At 37.2% G+C, this 23,043-nt stretch overlaps 1 protein-coding gene across 14 annotated transcripts in view; it reads right to left on the reverse strand.

The window, feature by feature from the left end:
• Positions 1-23,043, reverse strand: part of RPS6KA5 (ribosomal protein S6 kinase A5) — a 212,781-nt gene that overhangs the window by 78,891 nt on the left and 110,847 nt on the right. For 13 of the 14 annotated variants that reach the window (NM_001322232.2, NM_001322236.2, NM_001322231.2 and 10 more), the window contains 2 exons: positions 20,684-20,799; positions 16,327-16,434 (listed from right to left, as the gene is read on the reverse strand). In NM_001322232.2, the coding sequence (NP_001309161.1) occupies positions 16,327-16,434; positions 20,684-20,799 (224 nt within the window). The remainder of the gene's footprint in view (positions 1-16,326; positions 16,435-20,683; positions 20,800-23,043) is intronic. The other variant, NM_001322228.2, reaches the window with a different exon arrangement.

A 23,043-nucleotide genomic window follows, 5' to 3' on the forward strand; every position in this document is an offset into this window, starting at 1 on the left:
GTTAATATGCAGGGCAAAATAAAGCATTTTAAGACAAAGACAGAATTTATTAATCATTGAACCTTGCTAAAAAGAAATCTAACGTATGTATTTCATAAATTAATAAATTGAACTTGAAAGAAAAAACTCAGATGCAAGAAGCAAGAATAAGCAGAGAAAACAAATGTGTAAGTAAATATAAACAAGCACTGAATTTATAAAATAAAAGTAATAACTGCACAGTAATGATTGATTTGTGGAAATTTAGCAGGTAGGACTAAAATACTAAATAATATAAAAATTAGATAAATAACTGAAGTTGAAGCATTCTAACGTTCTTGTAGTGGTCATGATCGTTTGAGAGATAATGGATAATTTCAGACTCTGTTAAGTCAGAGCACAAGTCTAAAATCAGGGTAATATTACAGAAATGCCTTGTGTATAAAAATAGATAAGTAAATAAAATCAGGGTAATAACTACTAAAAGAACAGAAATAGAATATACATGACTTCCAGACCATTAGGCGGACATGAAATCAAAAGATCTTAATCATTTAAATAGAAGACAGGAAAAAGGGAAAACAGAAGCAAAGAGAAACACAAAGCAAGATAAGAGAAATAAATAAAAATATATCAGTAATCATAATATACAGGTATCATAACTCACCAGTTAAAAGACAGAAACTCTCGATCAAAAAATAAAATCCAGCTATATGTTATTTATAAAAGGCACACCTAAAACATAATGACAAAGAAAGATTGAAAGTAAAGAGATGAAAAAAGTTGTATCAGACAGCACTAACCAACAGAAAGCTGGAGTATCTTTATTAATAGGAGGAGAAATGAACTTTAAGGCAAAAGAATTATTAAAATTACGTACATTACAAAATAATAAAAGGAACATTTCACTAGGGAAATAACTCTATTCCAAGCTTGAATATCCTCAAAAATTTGTGAAAAGCTTTAAAAATATATAAAATAAAAATGGAGAGATCTTCAAGGAGAAATGGACAAATCCACAATCATCATGGGTATTTTAACATATGTTTCTTATAACTGACAGATCAAGAAGGAAAAATATTAGTAAAGATATTCAAGATTTGAATGATATTCATGAAAATATACAAAATCCTGTATCCATCAATTAGAGAATACACACATAGTCTTTCAGGCATATGTCTTTTTTCTCTTTCTTTCTTTTCTTTTCTTTTTTTTTTTTTTTTGAGACAAGGTCTCATTCTGTCATCCAGGCTGGAGTGTAGTGGTGTGATCACAGCTCACTGCAGTTTTGACTTCCCAGGCTCAAGTGATCCTCTTGCCTCAGCCTCCCAAGTAGCTGGGCTCTTGCTACCACGCCTGGCTAATTTTTGTACTTTTTGTAGAGAGACGCAGTTTTGCTATGTTGTCCAGGCTCCTGAGCTCAAGTGATTCGCCCGCCTCAGACTCTTAAAGTGCTTGGATATAGGTATGAGCCACCACTCAAAGAAAAAGTGACAATAAATATTACAGTAACAATAAAAATACTATATATAAGAACTTGTGGGATGCAGCTAGAGCTATTTTTAAAAATTCACAGCTTTATTTTAAAAAGATTAAATATTAGTGAGCTGGATGTCCAAATTAAAAGCTTAGAAAAAGAATATGAAAGAAGCTTATAGAAAGTAAAATGCACAAAATAATAAACCTCATCAAAGAAAGAGAAGAAAAATAGAAGGCTTGACAAAAGCTCTTTCTTATAAAAGACTAATAAAATGGACACTTCTAACAAAGGATCAAGAAAAGTAACAAATGAATAATATCAGTAATTTAAAATAAAACATTACTATAGTTACAGAGATTTTTAAAAGTAAGGAAATTCTGAAGAAACTGATGTCAAAGAATTTAAAAAGATAATACCATTTTCTATAAAAATGTTAACATTCAAGAAGAAATAAAAACTCTAAATATACTTGTAAATATTTTAAAAATTAAATCAGTATTTGAAAAGCTACTTGCACTCACTTAAAATGAAAAAAAAAAAAAAAGGAAAAAAACACACTCTGGCAGATTTGAAAGTGAATCCACACAAACCTTTAGAAGAAATGTACTTTATCTTACATAAACCATTCTAAATCCATTTCATGGTGCTAGGACAACCTTGATACTAAAATGTGACAAATGCAATTTTATACAGGAAAATTATAGGTCAACTTAGAAAATAAAATCCTAAGTAAAATATTAGCAAATAAAATCCAGCAATGTATAAAAAATACATATCATGGAAAGTTAAGTTTGTTCCAGGAATTGAAAGATGGTCTAACACTGAAAAAGGAAACAAAAATCTATTCATATAATTCACATCATTATGTGGTTAAAGAGAAAAACCATAAGAATTTACTTATAACAATAAAGATACTAAAAATATAATTTATCTACCAAAAACCTACAGCAAATACCATACTAAATGACTAAAATACATGTTCTTTAATGTAAAAAATACATATACACATAAAACTTGGTAGACAAATCAATAAAACCAAGCCAAACCTAAACAAAATAACCATCCCCAAACACACAGAAACTAAAAGGTATGAGAAATGAAAAGAAACAAAGCCATTATTACTTACAAATAATGGTTCTGACTTTTTTCTTTTTAATGTAGTCATCTATACAAAAATCCAAGTCAATCTATAAATTTGTGCACCTAATAAGAATTCAATGTTTTATGTATAAGGTCAACAGCATTCCTAAGCTCTGGCAAGAAAAACATAAATATTCCAGTTTTTAAAGGTAATTCTTATAATTGAAACAAAATGTATAAATAGAAATAAGTCTAATAATATATGTATAAAATATTACAGATAATAGTACAAAATATTTTTGAAAGACATAAAAAACTAAATAAATGAGAAGATCTGAACATTCACTGATGCAAATTCATTGACTGGAAGGGTCAATATTCAAAAATTGCAGTTCCCTCCAAATTAATTTATATATTCGATTCCACAATTCATGTGGAGGAACACAAAAAGCCAAGAATAGAGAAGACAGTGAAGAGGGAGGACGAAGGTCGGGGGAAAGGAGAGGGAGGTAGGGTGAGGGTGAAGAGGAAAAAGATCTCACCTTTTCAGAATCAAGACTTACTATAAAATGATAGGCTTTTTTTTCTTTTCTTTTTTGAGATAAAGTCTTGCTCTGTTGTCTAGGCTGGAGTGCAGTGGCATGATCGCAGCTCACTGCAACCTCAAATTCCTGGGTTCAAGTGAACCTTCTGCCTCAGCTTCCCGAGCAGCTGGGACTAAAGGCATGCACCAACACACTCAACTAATTTTTTAAATATTTTGTAGAGATGAATTCTTGCTATATTGCCCAGGCTGGTCTTGAACTCTTGGCCTCAAGCGATCCTCCTACCTCAGCTTCCCAAAGTGCTGAGATTACAGGCGTGAGCCACCACGCCCGGCCAGCCAGATGCTTTAAGATATTTTGGTTCTGATACAGAGCGAGGCAAACAGACAAATGGAATTCAATGAAGAGCCTAAAAACAGACTCGTAAGTATGCTTGGGAACTTAGTTATATGACAGAAGTTGCATTTCGAATAAGAAGAGAAAAGATTAACTGACTAGTCAACAAATACTTAAAAGGTAATTGGGTTATTTGTATTAAAAATATAAAATATTTCCACCTGATTTTATACCCTAAATGTAAGACCTAGAACTGTAAAAATCCTGGAAGAAAATACATGGGAAAAGCTTCATGACATTGGATCTGGCAACGATTTCTTAGATATGACACCAAAAGCACAGACAACAAAAGCAAAAATAGACAAATGGGACTATATCAAATTTAAAAACTTCTGAATATCGAAGGAAAGAAACAGAATGAAAGGCAACCTACAGAATGGGAGAAAATATTTGCAAATCATATATCTGATAAGGAGTTAATATCTAGAATATATAAAGAACTCCTAAAAACAACAAAACCCACAAATAACCTGATTTTAAAATGAGCAAAGGACTCTAATAGACATTTCTCCAAAGATAACATACAAATGGTTAACAGCATATGAAAAGATGCTCAACATCACTAATGATTAGAGATAAACGCGAATCAGAATTACAATGAGATTTCACCTTACACTCATTAGGACAGCCACTATAATAACAAAAACACCAACATAACAAGTGTTGGCAAAGATACGGAGAACCTGGAACTTTTTAGCACTGCTGGTGAGAATGTAAAATGGTGCAGCTGCTATGGAAAATAGTATAAATGTTCCTCAAAAAATTAAAAGTAGAACTACCATATGATCTAGCAATCCCCCTTGTGGGTATATATCCAAAAGAATTGAAGGCAGGCCTCTTGAAGAAATATTTGCACAACCACGTTCACTGTATTATTCACAATAGCCAAGAGGTGAGAGCAATCCAAATGTCCATCAACAGATAAACGAATAAACAAAATGTGGCATATAAATACCATGGAATATTATTCAGCCTTAATAAAGAAGGAAATCTTGTCACATGCTACAGCATGCATGAACCTTGAGAACTATGCTAAGTGAAATAGTCACAAAAATAAAATAAATACTGTACAACTCCACTGACATGGGATATCATAAGTAGTCAAACTCACAGAAATAGAAAGTAGAATGGTGGCTGCTGGGGGTTAGGGGACGGGGGAAAAGGTATAGAGTTTTAATTTTGCAAGATGAAAAAGTGCTAGAGATCTGTTACATAACAAAATGAGTATTATTAAAGCTGCTGAACCATATATTCACAAACAGTTAAGATGGCAATTTTTGTTTTGTGTTTTTTTAACCACAATTAAAATTTTTTTAAAATTAAAAAAATAAGCCGTAAAAGAAAAGATTTAGTACATTGGATATTAAAATGTTAAATGGCAAAAAAGATCATTAAACAAAATTAAAAACAAGTTAAAATTTTAGAAAAGAAATTTACAAAACATATAGTTATAAAGGGTTGGTATCTATAATACTTAACGAACTCCAACAAATCAATAACATCAGGGGAAAAAATGCAACACTGTGATAGAGAAAACATAGAAACAACCTAAATGTACCTCAGTAGGAGAAAAGATAGACTGGATAACTAATATAAAGGATTATTACACAACAGTTAAAATAAATGAAACATCCCATTTATCAGCTTGGATAAATTTCAAGAATAGGTCAAATAAAAAACAATTTGCAATAGAATATGTCATGTATGTACATTTAAAAAACATGGTAATAGTATATATTGTTTACGGATATACACACATGAAGTAAGGGTACTAAAACACAATTAAAATTAATCCACCACATACTCTTTACCTGCACCAGTGCAGCTACACATTGTTGGAGAAAACCATATAATCAGGTTGGCCGATTTTATTCAATCATTCAATCATTCATTCATTCATTCATTCATTTGAGACAGGGTCTCATTCTGTCACCCAGGCTGGAGTGCAGTGGCATGATCTTGGCTCACTGCATCCTCTGCCTCCCGGATTCAAGCAATCCTCCCAGCTCAGCCTCCCAAGTAGCTAGGAATACAGGCACGTGCCACCATGCTCGGCTAATTTTTTTATTTTTTTATAGGAATGAGGTCTCACTGTTGCCCAACACTGTTCCCCAGGCTGTTGAGTCTCAAACTCCTGGGCTCAAGTGATCCTCCTACCTCGGCCTCCCAAAGTGCTGGGATTACAGGCATCAGCCCAGGCAATTTCACTTTAAATTCATGATCAGGAATCTCACATGGGTCTTAATAGTACCCAGCAAACACATTCATTTCCCTAATCCGTTCACTCTCCCACATTGTTAGTTGGTTATTTTATATCATCTCCTTTCTCCTAAAACCTCGATGTGTCCACTCCCTTCCTCATACTCAGTGAGAAAACAGAAGACCTTCTATAAGCTGCCAGTACACACCACTTAACCTCCACCCACATGTGTGCCTAGTAACTCAACTTTCTTCAGTTTCTAAGCATGAACTGACCATGCTACTCGTTAAGCACTAGTAGCATGATCACGCACAAACTCACTTGTGCGTTTGACATTATCCTTCTCAAGGACAGTGTTCCAGCAATTTCCCACTTTACCTGCTGTATTATTATAGGAGATAGATATCTGGGTTTGGGTGGTAGATATCAGTGTATCTACCCCACTTCCTTTTGAGGACTATTCTAACTAGTGTATGACATCTGTAATTTCTCCCATCTTAGGGGAAAAAACCCTCTTTTCATCCTCACTTCATCCTCTGCTATGCTCTTCACAGAATTTCACTATTCCTTTTAACAGAAAACCCCAAGTTGTCTACATATGTGGAAGACAATAAGGCTACTGCTATTCTCTTTCCTAAGGTTAAAACTGAGCCAATCAATGCTCAATCTTCAGTCCCCATCTTATTTAACCTAACAATAGCATTTGACACAGTTAATCATTTTCAACCTTGAAACATTTTTTCACTTGTCTTCTGAGACAATCCACCTTGTTTTCCAAATTCCAAATTCATAGATCCAGACCAGACTTCTCTCCCAAATTCCAGACTCATATAGCTCACTGCTTAACATCTCTGCTGTGTGTCTAATAAATGTCTCAAACTTAACCTGTCCAGCTGAACTTCTCCTCTTGTAACCCCAGATAGCTCCCCATCAGCAGCCTACCCCATATTAGTTGATGGAAATTTCATCCTTCCAGCTGTTCTGGCCAAAAACCTTGGGGCCACACTAGATTTCTTCTGAATTCTCATACCCCACATCTAACTCATCAAAAAATTCCATTAGATCTAATGTCAAAATAGTCCTAAAATCTGCTACTCCATAGTCTAGGCCAGTTCCATCTCTTGCTGGGATTACTTCAACAGTTTTCTATCTGGACCTCATGTTTCCACACTTGTCCCACTACAGGATTATCACAGTTATCAACCAGAATTATTCTTCCAAAATAGGAGATCACTACTCTTCTACTCAAAACTCCCCAGTGGCTCCCCATTTTGTGCAGGGAAGAAGCCATAGTCCTTACAATGATCTTCAATGCCCTGAGTAATCTGTACAATCCTTCTTCCATATGATCACCTCCATGTCCTTCTTTCCTACTACTGTAACTCTCACTCATTCTGTATGCCCACAACGGCCTCTAACCCTCACTCATTCCATAACCCCACCTTAAAGGGCCTTAATATTGGCTGATCCCTCTACCTAGAAATCTCCTTCCTGAGATATCTACATGGCTGACTCTCTCACTTCCTTCATGTCTCTACTGCACTATCACCTTGGTGAAGCCTTTCCTGACCACTTGATTTCAAAGTGTAGCCTCTTCTCACCCTATTCCCTATTCCTGTTCCCTACTATACTTGTCTTCTTGCAACTTATTGCTATCTAACATACTACAGAAATACTTATTTCTTATTGTCTGCCTCCCCGTGTAAAGGAAGAATTTGTGTCCATTTTGCTCATTCATTGCAAGATCTCAACACTGAGATAGAACAGTGCCTGGATCACAGGAGACATTCAATGAATATTCACTGAATTAATGGAAAAAATTATAAAATTTTCATAACTGAAAATGTGAAGAGTGGGCACATAAACTCAGTTATATTATTTTCTATTTTTATTGTGCTTTATAGCATAAAAATTTAAAGAGAAATTTGGAAAATATAAACATTTATTATTCACATTTATGAATTCTTATTATTCTAGGATATCTTTTGCCCTTATGGACTTTAAAGTCCCTGACACTCAGCATAGTTCTGAATCATTTTCCTTTCTTTCTTAGAAAATAGATAAAAATAAACTGTGACTGCTAAATATAGTTATCAAGTAAATTTAAAAACACATATTTAACATTATTTGAACAAATGAAATATATACTTGGAAGTTTCTGTGAAAATAATCTCATTTCAAAAGTTGTCCCTGCTTGTTCTGTGTTGTTACTCACACTGAATCTACCTTAAAAAAAATCGTATTATGAATAAACTTTAGTAGATCCAAAAATTTCTGCCATAAGAATAATTATAAAGGGATCTGTGAAGCAGACAGCTGGCAGGCAATCCCTATTTACCCCCCAACCTTTGGAGGGGAATCAAAGGTCTGCTCAGATATCTGGGGGAAAAAAATCTCACTAATGAACGGCTCAAGCTAATGTGTTGGCATCTGAATATTGTGTAATAGTGTTTTAAGAAAGGAAGAACTGGGGCAACAGGGTAACACTTTGGTTTCTAGGTCTCCTATTTTCCCAACACCTCCAACTCAATGTTTACCTTAAAATAACTAAATTATCCTAGAGTCACTGATTTTGGCAAATGACTGATAGAGCTTATTATCAGAGACCTAATAGATTTTCAGGACACATGCAAATAAAAAAAATCATGACTACATGTCAGTACAAATCAATTAGGAAGGGAGACAGAGGTAACTAAAAAGCTGGTTTAGGGTTAGGTTATCTGATTCTCAATGCAAACACGCTCTTTATGGAGCCCGACCCTTACCTACACATCTTGAGATACGTACATTATAACAGCAGAAACTTGAAAGTGGCACTATTAGCTAGGCATTTATTAGAGAAAGATGTAATTTAAAACTACAAAAAAGAAAATAAAGAGAATAATTTTAAATTCTCAATGGTATATTTTAATTTTGCTCACAGTAATCTGAAATGTAAACAGTACTTCTCAGAAATAGAACGGATATAGTGCTTTATACTTTAGAAAGTACTTTCACAAGCATTAATTCATTGTGTCTGTATGATAATTCTATAAATTAGGTATGATAAATATTATTTTACAGATGATGAAATTAAGACTCAGAGAGGTTAATGACGAAGTGACTTGCCTCATGTCCTAAAGCTAAGAAATAGAGAACCAGAAAAAGATCCCCCTAACTAAAATGCCTCTTACATTGTCCAAAGAATTAATCAATAAATAACATTATCTGAATTGAGCAAGGTTAGATTTTTCTACTTCTGGAAAGAGAGAAACAGTCATAAATCCATAGGCTTTTCCCTTTAAGTACAGATACTCTGTACTGTTCAGCCAACATATTATTTTTCTTCTGAACCTTAAAGTTGTATTTATCTACCTGGGGATTCGTGTTAATGATCTGTTTTGAAAATTTTCAAGCACTCACTGTTAAATTATAAAAACAGAATGCATATACCATATTTAAGCATAAACACGTGTCCTTTTTGACATTATTTGCTTATAAATATGAACAGACACAATTTTGAAGCTATCATCACTTTACCAACACTTTTTTTAACTGTCTTTAAAGTTGTCAACATTAAAATCAAATATCCAATAACTACCAGATTCTCTGACTTGAAGTAAGAACTCAACAAATGTTTGTAAAACTGTACTACCAAAAAAATTCTATGGAAGATATATATTAGCCTGAAAATTAGAGATGTTTTGTTATTTTTCAGAATCTCAAGAGCTTGATCGAATTTTCTGGTTGAGAACAGAACAGTAAAAGTAGCAAATTTTTATTATCATAAAATATTTTTAAAGTTTCTAAAATAAATTTACTTTAACCTGTATGTAGTCTAGGCTGCAAACCATTATCCAGAAATAATTATATGGGCTGGGCCTGGTGGCTCATGCCTATAATCCCAGCACTTTGGGAGAGCAAGGCAGGTGGATTTTTTGAGATCAGTCCAAGACCAACCTGGGCAACATGGTGAAACCTAGTCTCTGCAAAAAATACAAAAATTAGCCGGGCATAGTGGCATGTGCCTGGAGTCCCAGCTACTTGGGAGTCTGAGGTGGGAGGATGGCTTGACCCCAGGAGGCAGAAGTTGCAGTGAGCCGATCTTGCCACGCTGGGTGACAGACCAAGACCCCATCTTTTAAAAAAAAAATACAAAAACAAAAAACCCAGAAATAATTATATGAATATTTGACAAATATCTCTAGAATACAGGCTCAGGAGGGTAAGGAATTTGTTATGTTCACCATTATATTTGTAGGGTCTAGTGCAATACCTGGCAATGGTAAGTACTCCAAGATTTTTTGAATTACTAAATTAATATATATACAGAGATAAGTATAATATCATGAGCAGAAACATCAAACATACATAAAAAGTAAATTCCTGAAGATTAAATATATTTCCCAGACCAAATGAGGCCAGAATTTATAATATAAAATTGTGATATACTGACAGAAAGGCAGATTTTGGTGGAAGATTACTTCTGTTTTGAAAATGTTCAGTTTGAGGAGCCTGTGAAAGTGTCAAGTGGAGATAAAACATTCACATATTTGGGTCTTGAGCCCAGAAGAGAAGGTTGGCCAAGAGAAGGCTGGGAATGAGCAGCATGTAAGAAGAGTACAGCATAAAAAAAAGAAGAGTACCTAGGACTGAGCTGAGGGGAACCCTCAGGTAGAAGAGGAAGAGCCAACAAAAGGCAGTGAGAGAGAGAAGGAAAGTCAGGTGGGTGTTGTGTCACAGAGCCAAGCTGAGAGGTGATTTCAAGTTCAGTACTACCAGGCAGTCAAATAAAGTAACTAAAAAGTATTAATATGCACGTCAATGGTAACATTGGCAAGAACAGCCTCAGCAGATGGTGGCGGGGTAGGGGGGCAAGGAGGTACAAGCAGAATTGGAATTGATAAGGGAGTAAGGGACATGTGAGTAAGTAGAGACAAATACTGACAAAGGAGAACAATGAGACAATAGCTAGGCGGGAATATGGTATTCTGAGATTTTTTTTCCTTTTTATTTATCAGTCCATTCATCTCCCCATTTTTAAAATTTTAAGATGGAAAGACTATGTCTACTTAAACAGTGACAGAAATGGTCAAAGAGGAAGAGGTTAAAGAGAAGAGAAGGCAGGCAGAGTGTATCAGTCCATTCTCACACTGCTGATAAATACATATCCGAGACTGGGAAATTCACAAAAGAAAGAGGTTTAATGGGCTCACAGTTCCACGTGGCTGGGGAGGTCTTGCAATCATGGTGGAAGGAAAGGAGGAACAAGTCACATATTACATGGATGGAAGCAGATAAAGAGAGAGAGAACTTGTGCAGGAAAACTCCCGTTTTTTAAACAGTCAGATCTTGCAAGACTTACTCATTATCATGAGAACAGCATGGGAAAAACTTGCCCCCATGATTCAATTACCTCCCACCAGGTCCCTCCCACAACATGCGGGAATTCAAGATGAGATTTGGGTGGGGACACAGCCAAACCATATCATTCCACCCCTGGCATGTCCTCACATTTCAAAGCCAATCATGCCTTCCCATCAGTCCCACAAAGTCTTAACTCATTTCAGCATTAACTCAAAAGTCCATATTCCAAAGTCTCATCTGAGACAAGGCAAGTCTCTTCCACCTATGAGCCTCTAAAATCAAAAGCAAGTTAGTTACTTCTTAGACACAACAGGAGTACAGGCATTGGTTAAATACAGCCACTCCAAATGGGAGAAACTGGCCAAAACAAAGGGACTACAGGTCCCATGCAAGTCCAAAATCCAGCGGGGCAGTCAAATCTTAAAGCTCCAAAATGATCTCCTTTGACTCCATGTCTCACATCCAGGTCACGCTGATGCAAGAGGTAGGCTCCCATAGCCTTGGGCAGCTCCGCCCCTGTGGCTTTGCAGGGTACAGTCCCCCTCCTGGCTGCTTTCACAGACTGGTGTTGAGTGTCTGTGGCTTTTCCAGGTGCACGGTGCGAGCTGTTGGTGGATCTACCATTCTGAGGTTTAAAGGACAGTGGCCCTCTTCTCACAGCTCCACTAGGCAGTGCCCCAGTAGGAACTCTGTGTAGGGGATCCGACGTCACATTTCCCTTCTGCACTGCCCTAGCAGAGGTTCTCCGTGAGGGCCCCATTCCTGCAGCAAACGTCTGCCTGGGCATCCAGGTGTTTCCACACATCCTTTGAAATCTAGGCGGAGGTTCCCAAACCTCAATTCTTGACTTCTGTGTACCCACAGGCTCACTACCACATGGAAGCTGCCAAGGCTTGAGGCTTCCATCCTCTGAAGCAACAGCCTGAGCTGTACCTTGGCTCCTTTTAGTCATGGCTGTAGCAGCTGGGAAGCAGGGCACCAAGTCCCTAGACTGCACACAGCAGAGAGGCCCTGTGCCCGGCCCAGAAAACCATTTTTTCCTCCTAAACCTCCAGGCCTATGATGGGAGGGGCTGCCATAAAGGTCTCTGGCATGCCCTGAGCCATTTTCCCCACTTGTTATAGTGATTAACATCCAGCTCCTTCTTACTTATGCAAATTTCTGCAGCTGGCTTGAATTTCTCTTCAGAAAACAAGATTTTCTTTTCTAGTGCATTGTCAGGCTGCAAATTTTCCGAACTTTTATGCTCTGTTTCTCTTTTAAAACTGAATACCTTTAATAGCACCCAAGTCATCTCTTAAATGCTTTGCTGCTTAGTAATTTCTTCTGCCAGATACCCTAAATCACCTCTCTCAAGTTCAAAGTTCCACAAATCTCTAGGGCAGGGGCAAAATGCCACCAGTCTCTTTGCTAAAACATTACAAGAGTTACCTTTGTTCTACTTCCCACCAAGTTCCTCATTTCCATCTGAGACCACCTCAGGCTGGATTTCATTGTCCATATCATTATCAGCATTTTACTCAAAGCCATTCAACAAGTCTCTAGGAAGGTCCAAACTTTATCACATTTTCCTGTCTTCTTCTGAGCCCTCCAAACTGTTCCAACCTCTGCCTGTTACCCAGTTCCAAAGTCGCTTCCACATTTTCAGCAGCACCCCACTCGTGGTACCAATTTACTGTATTAGTCTGTTTTCATACTGCTGATAAAGATATATCCAAGACTAGGCAATTTACAAAAGAAAGAGGTTTAATGGACTTACAGTTCCATGTGGATGGGGGAGGTCTCACAATCATGGTGGAAGGCAAGAAGGAGCAAGTCATGTCTTACATGGATAGCAGGAGACAAAGAGAGAGAGAACTTGTTGCAGGGAAACTCCCGTTTTTAAAACCATTAGGTCTCGTGAGACTTATTCACTATCACAAGAATAGCATGAGAAAAACCTGCCCCCATGATTCAGTTAACTCCCCACCAGGTCCTTCCCACAACATGTGGGAATTCAAGATGAGATTTGGGTGGGGACACAGCCAAACCATACCATAAAGATACACATTTAACCTGGAAACCAAGGAGGCAGATTAGGGATGGAGCAGAAAGAAACTTGTTCCAAAAAATATGGTATTTTGATATGAGTTGGGGCTGACATGGAAACCAAAAAGGAATGCAAGCTAATCAAAATAGAAATGGTTTCATGGGAATATTTTTAAGGTAAGAAAGGGTCTAGATAGAGAAACTTCCTAAATAGGTGCTGGGTGGAATCAGAGGAGCAAAGAACCATTAGATCAAGTTTCAGAGGACTCAGCAAAGGAAAATTCCTACCTGAGCCCTGAGAGTTAAACCTGAAGCCAAGCATGATAGTATGTCCTCTAGGGCTAACAGGAAGAATGAGCAGACAGTCTAAGGATCAAAGAGATATGCAACCCTTAAAGCTTAATAGTAATGTTAAACTATTAACATAACCTAGAGTGAGGCTGTATTCAGTAAATAAGGGCGCCTACTAATTACTCCTCTACTTCAGCTTGAACTCTCCTATTTCATTTTTGCACCCAGACCACTAAGTGCTCAAAGATGATGGTATTTGACTGGATCTCCATCATCCCCTTGAAGGGTGGCTGTTGACACGACTAGCAGCAAACTCTCCTCTTGTGAAGAGTGACCTGGCTGATTCAGTCACACAGCATTTCTGACTAATGCTTATTACTGTATTAAGACCTAGCAACTCTGGTCAACTTTGATTTTTATTTGTTTGTTTAGTTTTGAGTCCTAACATTTTGCTGTTCCCCAGGGCCAAAGTCTGTTTCTATCTATTGCCAAATGATCTGCCACACACACCTATAAACAGAGGAATTATTAAGTGATTCTTTTAATGAGTGTACTACCAGAACCTAGCCTACCATCTAGCACATGGGCCCCTAACCCCCAGGCCATGGACAAGTACTGGTCTGCGGCCTGTTAGGAACCAGGGCGCACAGCAGGAGGTGAGCAGCAGACAAGCATTGCCACCTGAGCTCTGCCTTCTGTCAGATCAGTGGTGGCATTAGATTCTCCTAGGAGTGCCAACCCTATTGTGAAGTGTGCATGCAAGGGATCTAGGTTGCACATTCCTTATGAGAATCTAATGATAAATGTAATGTGCTTGAATCATCCCAAAACCATACCCCGACCCTCGTCTTTGGGAAAAATGTCTCTCAGGAAACCAGTCCCTAGTGCCAAAAAAGTTGGGGACTGCTGATCTAGCACACAGAAGGCCCTCAACAAATATCAATGGAATGAGCAAATAAAAGTGATCATCAAATCTCTCTATGCAGGGGGAGTTTTACACATTTACAAACCAAGGACCCCTTTGGCAGTCTGTTGAAGCCTGTGGACCCCTTCTCAAAATAATATTTTAAAATAGATAGCATTATAGAGGAAATTAATTATAGTAAAATACAGTCACAAAACTATTTTTTTTAAATGTGGCATCATTACAAACATGCTTCTGTGGCACCGGGTGGGATTGCCAAGCCCCAGGCTTCTCTGTAGAGAGATTTGGCTGGGCCAGTTCAGTGGCAAAATTACTGACAACATCTATGGAGATTTTGTTCTTGGCTTCTCAGAGAAAACTCCTCCAGACTCCTGCCTGGGAAGCCACTGTGCTCAGTGAAGTGCTAGAAAGCCGCCGAGGGAGTTTGCACAGTTCTGTGTGTCCATTTTCACCATACCTGTCATTTTCTGTATGGTATCCTCATCCTTAGCTGTGCCCATTGTCCCTGAATGCACAGACCTTGTCAGTCTTCCCTTAGGGTGAGGAAGGCACAGCTGCCTATGTGAACAGGGGCAGAGATAGGATCTGGGGGTTACCTGTTTCTTACACAGACTTTCAATCAATCCTCCTGGGTCCTGCATCACTTGCATGCCTACTTCGAGGGATACCTGCTGTCTCCAGTTATTGAACCTTTTTAGGGGGTCAGAAGTACAGAGAGCCTGCTTTTAGGCTTCCCATGTTACTGTCATCCATCTTCTAAAATGTAGTTGCTATTTTCTCTTTTCCCTTTGGAGTGCATGTCTATCTTATCCCTTTCCTTTTATCCTTGTGGGATTTATTAAGGAGGCAACGGTAAACAGATTTAATCTGCTACAATTTGCTGAAGTCATCACTAAAATTTTTACAAAGGCATAAAAAGTTTTAAAAATCAAATTTAGAAGTAAACTCAAAATTCATCTATTTTATAACTACGATATTTGTATCAAAGATGATCAATTTACTGTAATAACTTCAGCTTCATGAAGGCAGAGATCATTTTCACTTCATTTATTATTGTATTGTCCAGTACCCAGCATAGTAGAGGGGATAAATAAATATTTATTTTATAAGTAAACTGAATGAATATAGATGCGATTAAAAAATTAGGATCTTTAATTTTTATAATTTCAGCACTTATCTCACTCACCTAGGACTGCTTTAGCAATATACTCCAAAAACCAATCAGAAATAGATATACCTAATTTGGAATCCAAGAATGATGTCTTTTATAACAACAAAGTCCTTCACTACAAAAATTTTAGTATGATTTCATATTCTATACCAACAATTTCCTAGATAGAAACGAAACTAACATTCAAATTTACTTAGTTATCTTGAATAACTAGTAGTGCAGAAATAAATGTAACTTCTATTACAACCATTACATAAACAGTACTTAATTACAACTAATAGATGTACAATTTTAAGTGTCATTAAATGCATTTGTAATATTAAACAAATTCTAATTAATACTGAAAATTAAAGTTCTCCAAATGTAAAATCTGCACATTAGCCACCATATTTTAATTCATGTTGAGCAAAAACCAGCAATATTATTTAAAAATTGGGTCTAGTAGATCTCTGTCATTCTTGTCAAGCGAATTCAAAGGGCCTTCATAGCATGTCCTACTTTGTTACCACAATGTAAACTGTATGTACTTTGCTTTATGATTCTTTATTGGCCACTATCAAAGCCATAATTCTCCTGAAGGGCCAAAAGAGTTATTTGATTTTTCAGTTATATTTTACATATTTTATGGGGAAAGTTAAATGCATAGTGTCTTTTTTCTTTTTTAAATAAATAGGAATTCTGATATACCCATCAAGGTTTACCGCAATTTTAACAGGACGGCTCCATACGAATTTTAAACTAAAAATCTCTACATTTTCCATGGACAAATCTGCACAAAAGTTCAGAATTCACAGGGCAGTTTTCTGCTAAATGTTTATTCTACGGCTAAGTTTTCATCCTTGTTTACATGCTGTTATTACTAACTTCAAATTAAAATATACTCACTTCATCAGCCACAAACTCCTTACTCAGACCAAAATCTGTCAGCACCACATGGCCATTAGAATCAAGTAGAATATTCTCAAGCTTAATATCACGATATATAATCCCCAACTGCAAAAACAAAGAAATATAAATTTTAAAATAATTTACAAAAAAATGAATTAGGGCAGTCTTTCTCGTCTACCTTTATTTATTTATTTTTTTTTTTAAGGCATTTCCCTCCTCAGGATCCTGTAATGGCTCTTGGTGATTGGTCAGGGAAAATGGAAATTCTTTTATCTGCTGCGTTCTCTGGACCTCTCCAACCACGTCTTTGTTCTCCTTGTGCACAGGGTCTACCTTGTTGGGTCAGCTTCTTTAGGGCCTCCCTCTTGACTCGTGCTTCTTCATGTCTCTATTCTTCCTAGTTCACTCTCACTCTAGATGACCTTCAGGTGCCTTCATAGCCAATTCTTGTCCATCACTTCCTAACGGCTTCAGAAGACTCTCCTGACTAACCAGATCCCCTGTCATTTCCTTGTTTTTCATCCTACAACACCTATGTTTACATTGTACTTACCTATACATGACTGATATTTTCTAGCTATTTCCTACTTGTCTTTATATACCTATACTCTAACTCTTTTTTTCACTTTTTATGTATTTATAGGTATTTGTGCAGCACACCATGTATAAAATAGGAAATTTATAAAGAATTGTTGATTAACAGGCTCTTAAACATAAAGGTTGAAGATCATAGGTTAATTTTACTCAAACTTTAGTTGTTTTTTGTTGTTGTTATTGTTGTTGTTGTTTTGAGATAGGGTCTCACTCTGTCACCCAGGCTGGAGTGCAGTGGCGTGGTCCTAGCTCACTGCAACTTCAAACTTCTGGGCTAAAGCCATCCTCCCACCTCAGCCTCCAGAGTAGCTGGGATTACAGGTGTGAGCCACTGCACTAGGCTCAAACTTTAGTTCTAAATAAGCAAAGAAAATCAATTAAGTAACATTTATAGATCCCTCTGTTTTACTTTGCATTTATAAAACTTACTTTTTTGTAAGTTCTATAGCAAAACACTTCAGCTATATAACAAATAATCTATCCAACTCATATAAGAGGTGCTTGATCTGCATGAATTCTGTTTCATGTTTTCAGTTATGTCAGCCTGAATTAAATGTTTCTAAACTTAGAAATATTGTTTTCCTCAATGCTAAGAATATGAGAAAGTTCTTAATAATCTCTTAAAATGGAAATCAAAATTGCATACAGAAAAACACTAGGGGCCAGGCACAGTGGCTCATGTCTGTAACCCTAGACTTTGGAAGGCTGAGGCAGGAGGGTCACTTGAATCTGGGAGTTCAAGACTAGCCTGGGCAACACAGTGAGACCCATCTCTACAAAAAATTTTAAAAATTAGCTGGGCCAGGAGTGGTGGCTAACGCCCGTAATCCCAACATTTTGGGAGGCCGAGGTGGGCAGATCACCTGAGGTCAAGAGTTCGAGACCAGCCTGACCAACATGGAGAAACCCCGACTCTACTAAAAATACAAAATTAGCCGGGCGTGGTGGCACATGCCTGTAATCCCAGCTACTCGGGAGGCTGAGGCAGGAGAATCACTTGAACCCGGGAGGTGGAGGTTACGGTGAGCTGAGATCGTGCCACTGCACTCCAGCCTGGGCAACAAGAGCAAAACTCCATCTCAAAAAAAAAAAAAATTAGCTGGGTGTGGTGGCACACATGTAGTCCTAGAGCTACTCGGGAAGCTGAGGCAGGAGGATCACTTGAGCTCAGGGTGTTTGGGGCCACAGCAACCTATGATAGCATTCCAGCCTGGGCAACAGAGCGAGACCATATGTCTATTTTTAGACCCAATGTCTCTATTTTTTTTTTTTTTAAAAGAACAGAATAAAAAACGGACAAGTGTGGGTGGCCCATGCCTGTAATTCCAGCAGTTTGGGAAGCCAAGATGGGAGGATCATCTGAGCTCAGGAGTTTGAAACTAGCCTGGGCAACATGGCAAAACCCTGTCTCTACAAAAAATACAAAAATTAGCCAGGTGTGGTTGCGCATGCCTGTTGTCCCAGCTACTCAGGAGGCTGAGGTAGGAGGATCACCTCAGTCAAGCAGGTTGAGGCTGCAGTGAGCTGTGATCGTGCCACTGCACTCCAGCCTGGGCAACAGAGTAAGACCCTGTATCAACACAACACAACAGAACACAAAAGTACTAGGCAATTTTCCTTTAAGAGCCCCAGTGTTCTACAAGACAGACAGGAAGGAAAATGTCTAGAGCTTATATTGAACAGACATTGACTTGGAGCATTATATGCATCTAACAACCAGGAGATGCTTTTTCCTAAAAAACAACCTCTTTAGAAAAGATTTTAGAAACAAATAATTTACTATCTGCGTCACCTCATCACTTGCAAGTAAACATCCATTTTTGCCTCTTCCTGTGAAACTCAATGTTAGTAGCTTTATCAAGATTAACATTGCTGGCTTTGCGTTATATTTATCTGTATCTTTTTAGGGTAGTAAGATTAAGAGAAGGTTAACCAAGAGTTCATTTACTATATTACTCTCATTCCATATCAATTGCAGTTATATCCAACATTCATTGTTTTATTTACTTCTGTGTTTGACAATCAGCAAGTTTCACATAAATTAAAAACCGGATTTTCGGACAAGCACAGTGGCTCATGCCTGTAATTTGGGAGGCTGAGGCGGGCAGATTGCTTGAGTCTAGTTCAACACCAACCTAGGCAATATGGCAAAACCTCATCTCTATAAAAAATACAAAACTTAGCCAGGTGTGGTGGCACGTTCCTGTGGTCCCAGCTACTCGGGAGATTGACACGAGAGGATCACCTGAGCCTGGGAAGGTGGAGGCTGCAGTGAGCCAAGATTGCACCACTACACTGGACTTCCTAGCTTACTCACTGGAGCTATTCATTTTGTTTCTTACTCATATTTATGATGATTTCTACCATCATTTTTATATTATAAACTAATTGCCCTAAATCATAAATTTCAAAGGTCTTTCTTTGCAGCATATTCTTGGGTCCAATAGTTTCTTGTATGAAAATGTCTTAACTATCTTATATCCCACAAAAATCATCTTAAAGCTTGTTACCATATCAATAATTCCATGAAAAGAAGTCCAAGTGTCTGTTCTGCTACCTCAGTTTGAGTGCCTACTTGACTGCACCTCGTTCCCCTTCCTCTCCATTGTGCTGCAGCCCTGCCCCTCAACCCCCCCATTACCAAAGGTTTCTTTCCCTGCTTGTTCTCACACGTTTTTCATTCAGTCTCCCTAAGATTCCTACCCTTGAACCATCTCCCTTCACCTGGCAGGTCTGGTTTCTCCTCTGGGCTGGATCTGCCCTTTTCCTGATCTCTTTTTTTCTTACATCTTACCATAATTTATTCTCACGGCCTCACCCACCTGTTACCTCCACCTTGCTGCCTGCCCCTTTAGAAATGTCATCCTTCATCCTTCCTTTTCCCTTCAATTCTCTCCTTTCTTTTCTATGCTCCATAATCAGCATTTCAATCTCTATCTTAAACTAGTGTAGGACCTGAATATAACAGGACAAGGAAGGGTGGCTTCATGATGTACCTGAATTGTCCTAATTTAAAAATTACTTGAGTACTTTCTGTCTCTGAGGAAAAACACAAGCCCAGTCTACATAATGACTGCTTCTACAATGTTTCCTCATTAAGTAAAACAAAAAACCGAGTGAAAATTTCTTGGCTCAAGATTAATGGTTATCTGCAATAACATTTCTTACAGTTTAAACTGATTGTTACAGTTTGCATAGGGTCACAGACATGAATTCCATTTAAAGTTTTTTAGTAAGAGTTCATCCTACCTGGGGACAATGGAGGAGAGAGGGAGTGGGAGCAAGAGACGGTGTCAGGGACAAAACAAATGGAAAAGAAAGCCAGAGTGCGAGTGGGAAATAACTCTTACTCTCCAACCTCATCAGGATACACCCTGAAGATGTACAGGCAGAGTCTGCAATGCAGTAAATTACAATGAAGGAAATACATATTATGACTGATGGTTTCATTTTATTGGTTATTTTAACAATTAAAAGCTTTTATTATAATGATACTTTGTAACAAATAAGCATTAGGATTTTTCAGGATAAAAGCCAAAACCTGCTTAGGTTCTTTTTAATCTCTATCATAGCAAGTACAATTGGAAAGTAGATTTTTTCAAACGGAATTATGAAATTGAGAAAATTGGTAATGTTCTATAAGTATGCTTTCATAATCTCCACTAAGACAATAACATGTAAAAACATTAGCTCTTCCAGCTCCATTATTACCTTAGTTAACAGACTTCAGAAAAGAAACCTGAAAAATGAAGAGTCTTACCTTGTGGAGATGTTCGAGGGCAAGCACAATCTCTCCAACATAAATCTGCACCTCATGCTCTGTGAAACGCTCTCTTTGAGAAAGATGAGTAAAAAGTTCACCACCATTTATATAATCTAAAAATGAAATACATTTTTCTTTCTTAAACATGCATTCATAAATGAAAAGCAGTGTTTCCTTTTAATCACTTTGGATTCACCATAAGGCACTGATTTTAATATATTGCTATATACAATTTAGCATACAGTATCATGTAGATAGAGTTCTAGATTCAGATAGCAATACAGTTTCGCAAAATAATGATTACCTTAAATATAATCAAATGAGTTTGCAAAGAGTATTGCCATTAAAACTATTACTAAAATCTGCATATATTTAAATATGTTTTCTCAAATACAGCATATCAGAAACCTCTGCCATAACCATATAATGCATACTTAACCTACTCTGGAGTACCAAAACATCAGCCACTGCAATAACCAAAACCAAAACAAAACACAAAGTCCCATCCTTTCATTTGTAATAATTGCCAGTCACCTGTAAACAGATACCCTATTTTCCAGAATTGTCTACATGCACTTCCAAAAATCTATATTAGGTAATAGACACCCTTTTATTTAGCCCAATAGTATAAGTATTACAACTTGGTCAAATCAAAGATTCTGAAAGTAGAAGATTACCATTTCCCTGTCAATTTTCTCTATTTATCCCAAGGGGGATAATGAAATAGGTGACCAAAAGGCTACATTAAGACATAAATAGGGGAGCTGGTTAATTTTTTAAAAAACCAAAATAGTTATGTTGATACATGGCTCTAATAAGATATTTCTTCATAAACGCAGAACTTATTTATCATTCATTATTTTAGGTAACAACTATACAAATTAATGTTAGAAACTGCTCAAAATCCTATAGAATAAACTTTTTACCAAATAAGTGTTGCAAAAAAGCTTTAAATTGTAGTTACATCAGAAACACTGAGCCGGGCGCAGTGGCTCACGCCTGTAATCTCAGCACTTTGGGAGGCCGAGGCAGGCGGATCACGAGGTCAGGAGATCGAGACCATCCTGGCTAACACGGTGAAACCCCATCTCTACTAAAAATACAAAAATTAATCGGGCGTGGTGGCAGTTGCCTGTAGTCCCAGCTACTTGAGAGGCTGAGGCAGGAGAATGGCATGAACCTGGGAGGCGGAGGTTGCAGTGAGCGGAGATCGCGCCACCGCACTCCAGCCTGGGCGAAAGAGTGAGACTCTGTCTCAAAAAAAAAAACAAAAAAACCCCAAAAAACACAACAACAAAAAAAACCACTGACACATTAACACACAGGATTTGCGTGTGAGAAACCACTGACAACTAGAAAAGTCACAAATGCAATTTAAAGCTTTTTCTCCTGAAAAATTTGAAAAGCGTATATCCCAAGTATATTCACTTGAGTTTACCACAATTTGATAAAAGAATGAAATTGTTCATGAACTCACAAATTTTTCTTTTACTTTGTCCATTTAACTTTAAATTCCAAAAAGCAGATACAACAGAATTAAAGAACTCTAATAGCTAGTTGTTTTGCAATGCATTTTACAAACCACACGACAGCAAAAAGCATTTCCCTTCTCAGGCTTCTGTATTTTGCCAAGGAGTTTTAATTATACCTGAACACAAAGCTAATTATTAAAAAGGTGTAAAGGAACACAGGATTCCTGCAAACTAATAATGAACTTTTTTCCTACCTTATTTTACTTAAAAACTCAATACTTATGTTTATGCATAAATGCTTTCCATAGTTAGTCATGACACAGAAAGAAGCACGCATATATCAAGTGACAAACTCCTACATAGCCTTGAATGTCCAATTCAATCATCTCTTCTTCTATGGCCACTCCAGTAGAGCTGATTACTTTCTTCTATGTTAGCACTGTTCTTATTTAAGACTTCCAGCACTGCAGTTATCTTGCTATACTGCAATTGTTTATTTGCATACTTACTTTCTCTGCTAAAGTAAGGATTAATATATTCATTACTATTTACTCATCATAGTGCCTGCATGCAGTAAGCACAAAATAGATATTTATGGTATTAACAATTGAACACAAATTCTTAATACTGGAATATATTATAAACAGGGTCTCTGAACAAAACCACTCTGAAACTTAAGAGGCCAGTCTACTATTTAAAAAATCTAATGTACTCCTGTTTCAAATGCAACATGGCATAGTCAAAACAAACAGGGCTTTGTAACTGATGGACCTGAACTAGACAATGGCTCCACAGCTGTCCTTCCTTAAGCAAATTAAGTCTCTCTGAGCTTCAGTTCTTTATAAAGCAGGAATAATAACTACTTATGAATTATTGTTACTTGGG

Source organism: Homo sapiens, chromosome 14 (genome assembly GCF_000001405.40).
Source record: "Homo sapiens chromosome 14, GRCh38.p14 Primary Assembly".
NCBI classification, from domain to species: Eukaryota; Metazoa; Chordata; class Mammalia; order Primates; family Hominidae; genus Homo; species Homo sapiens.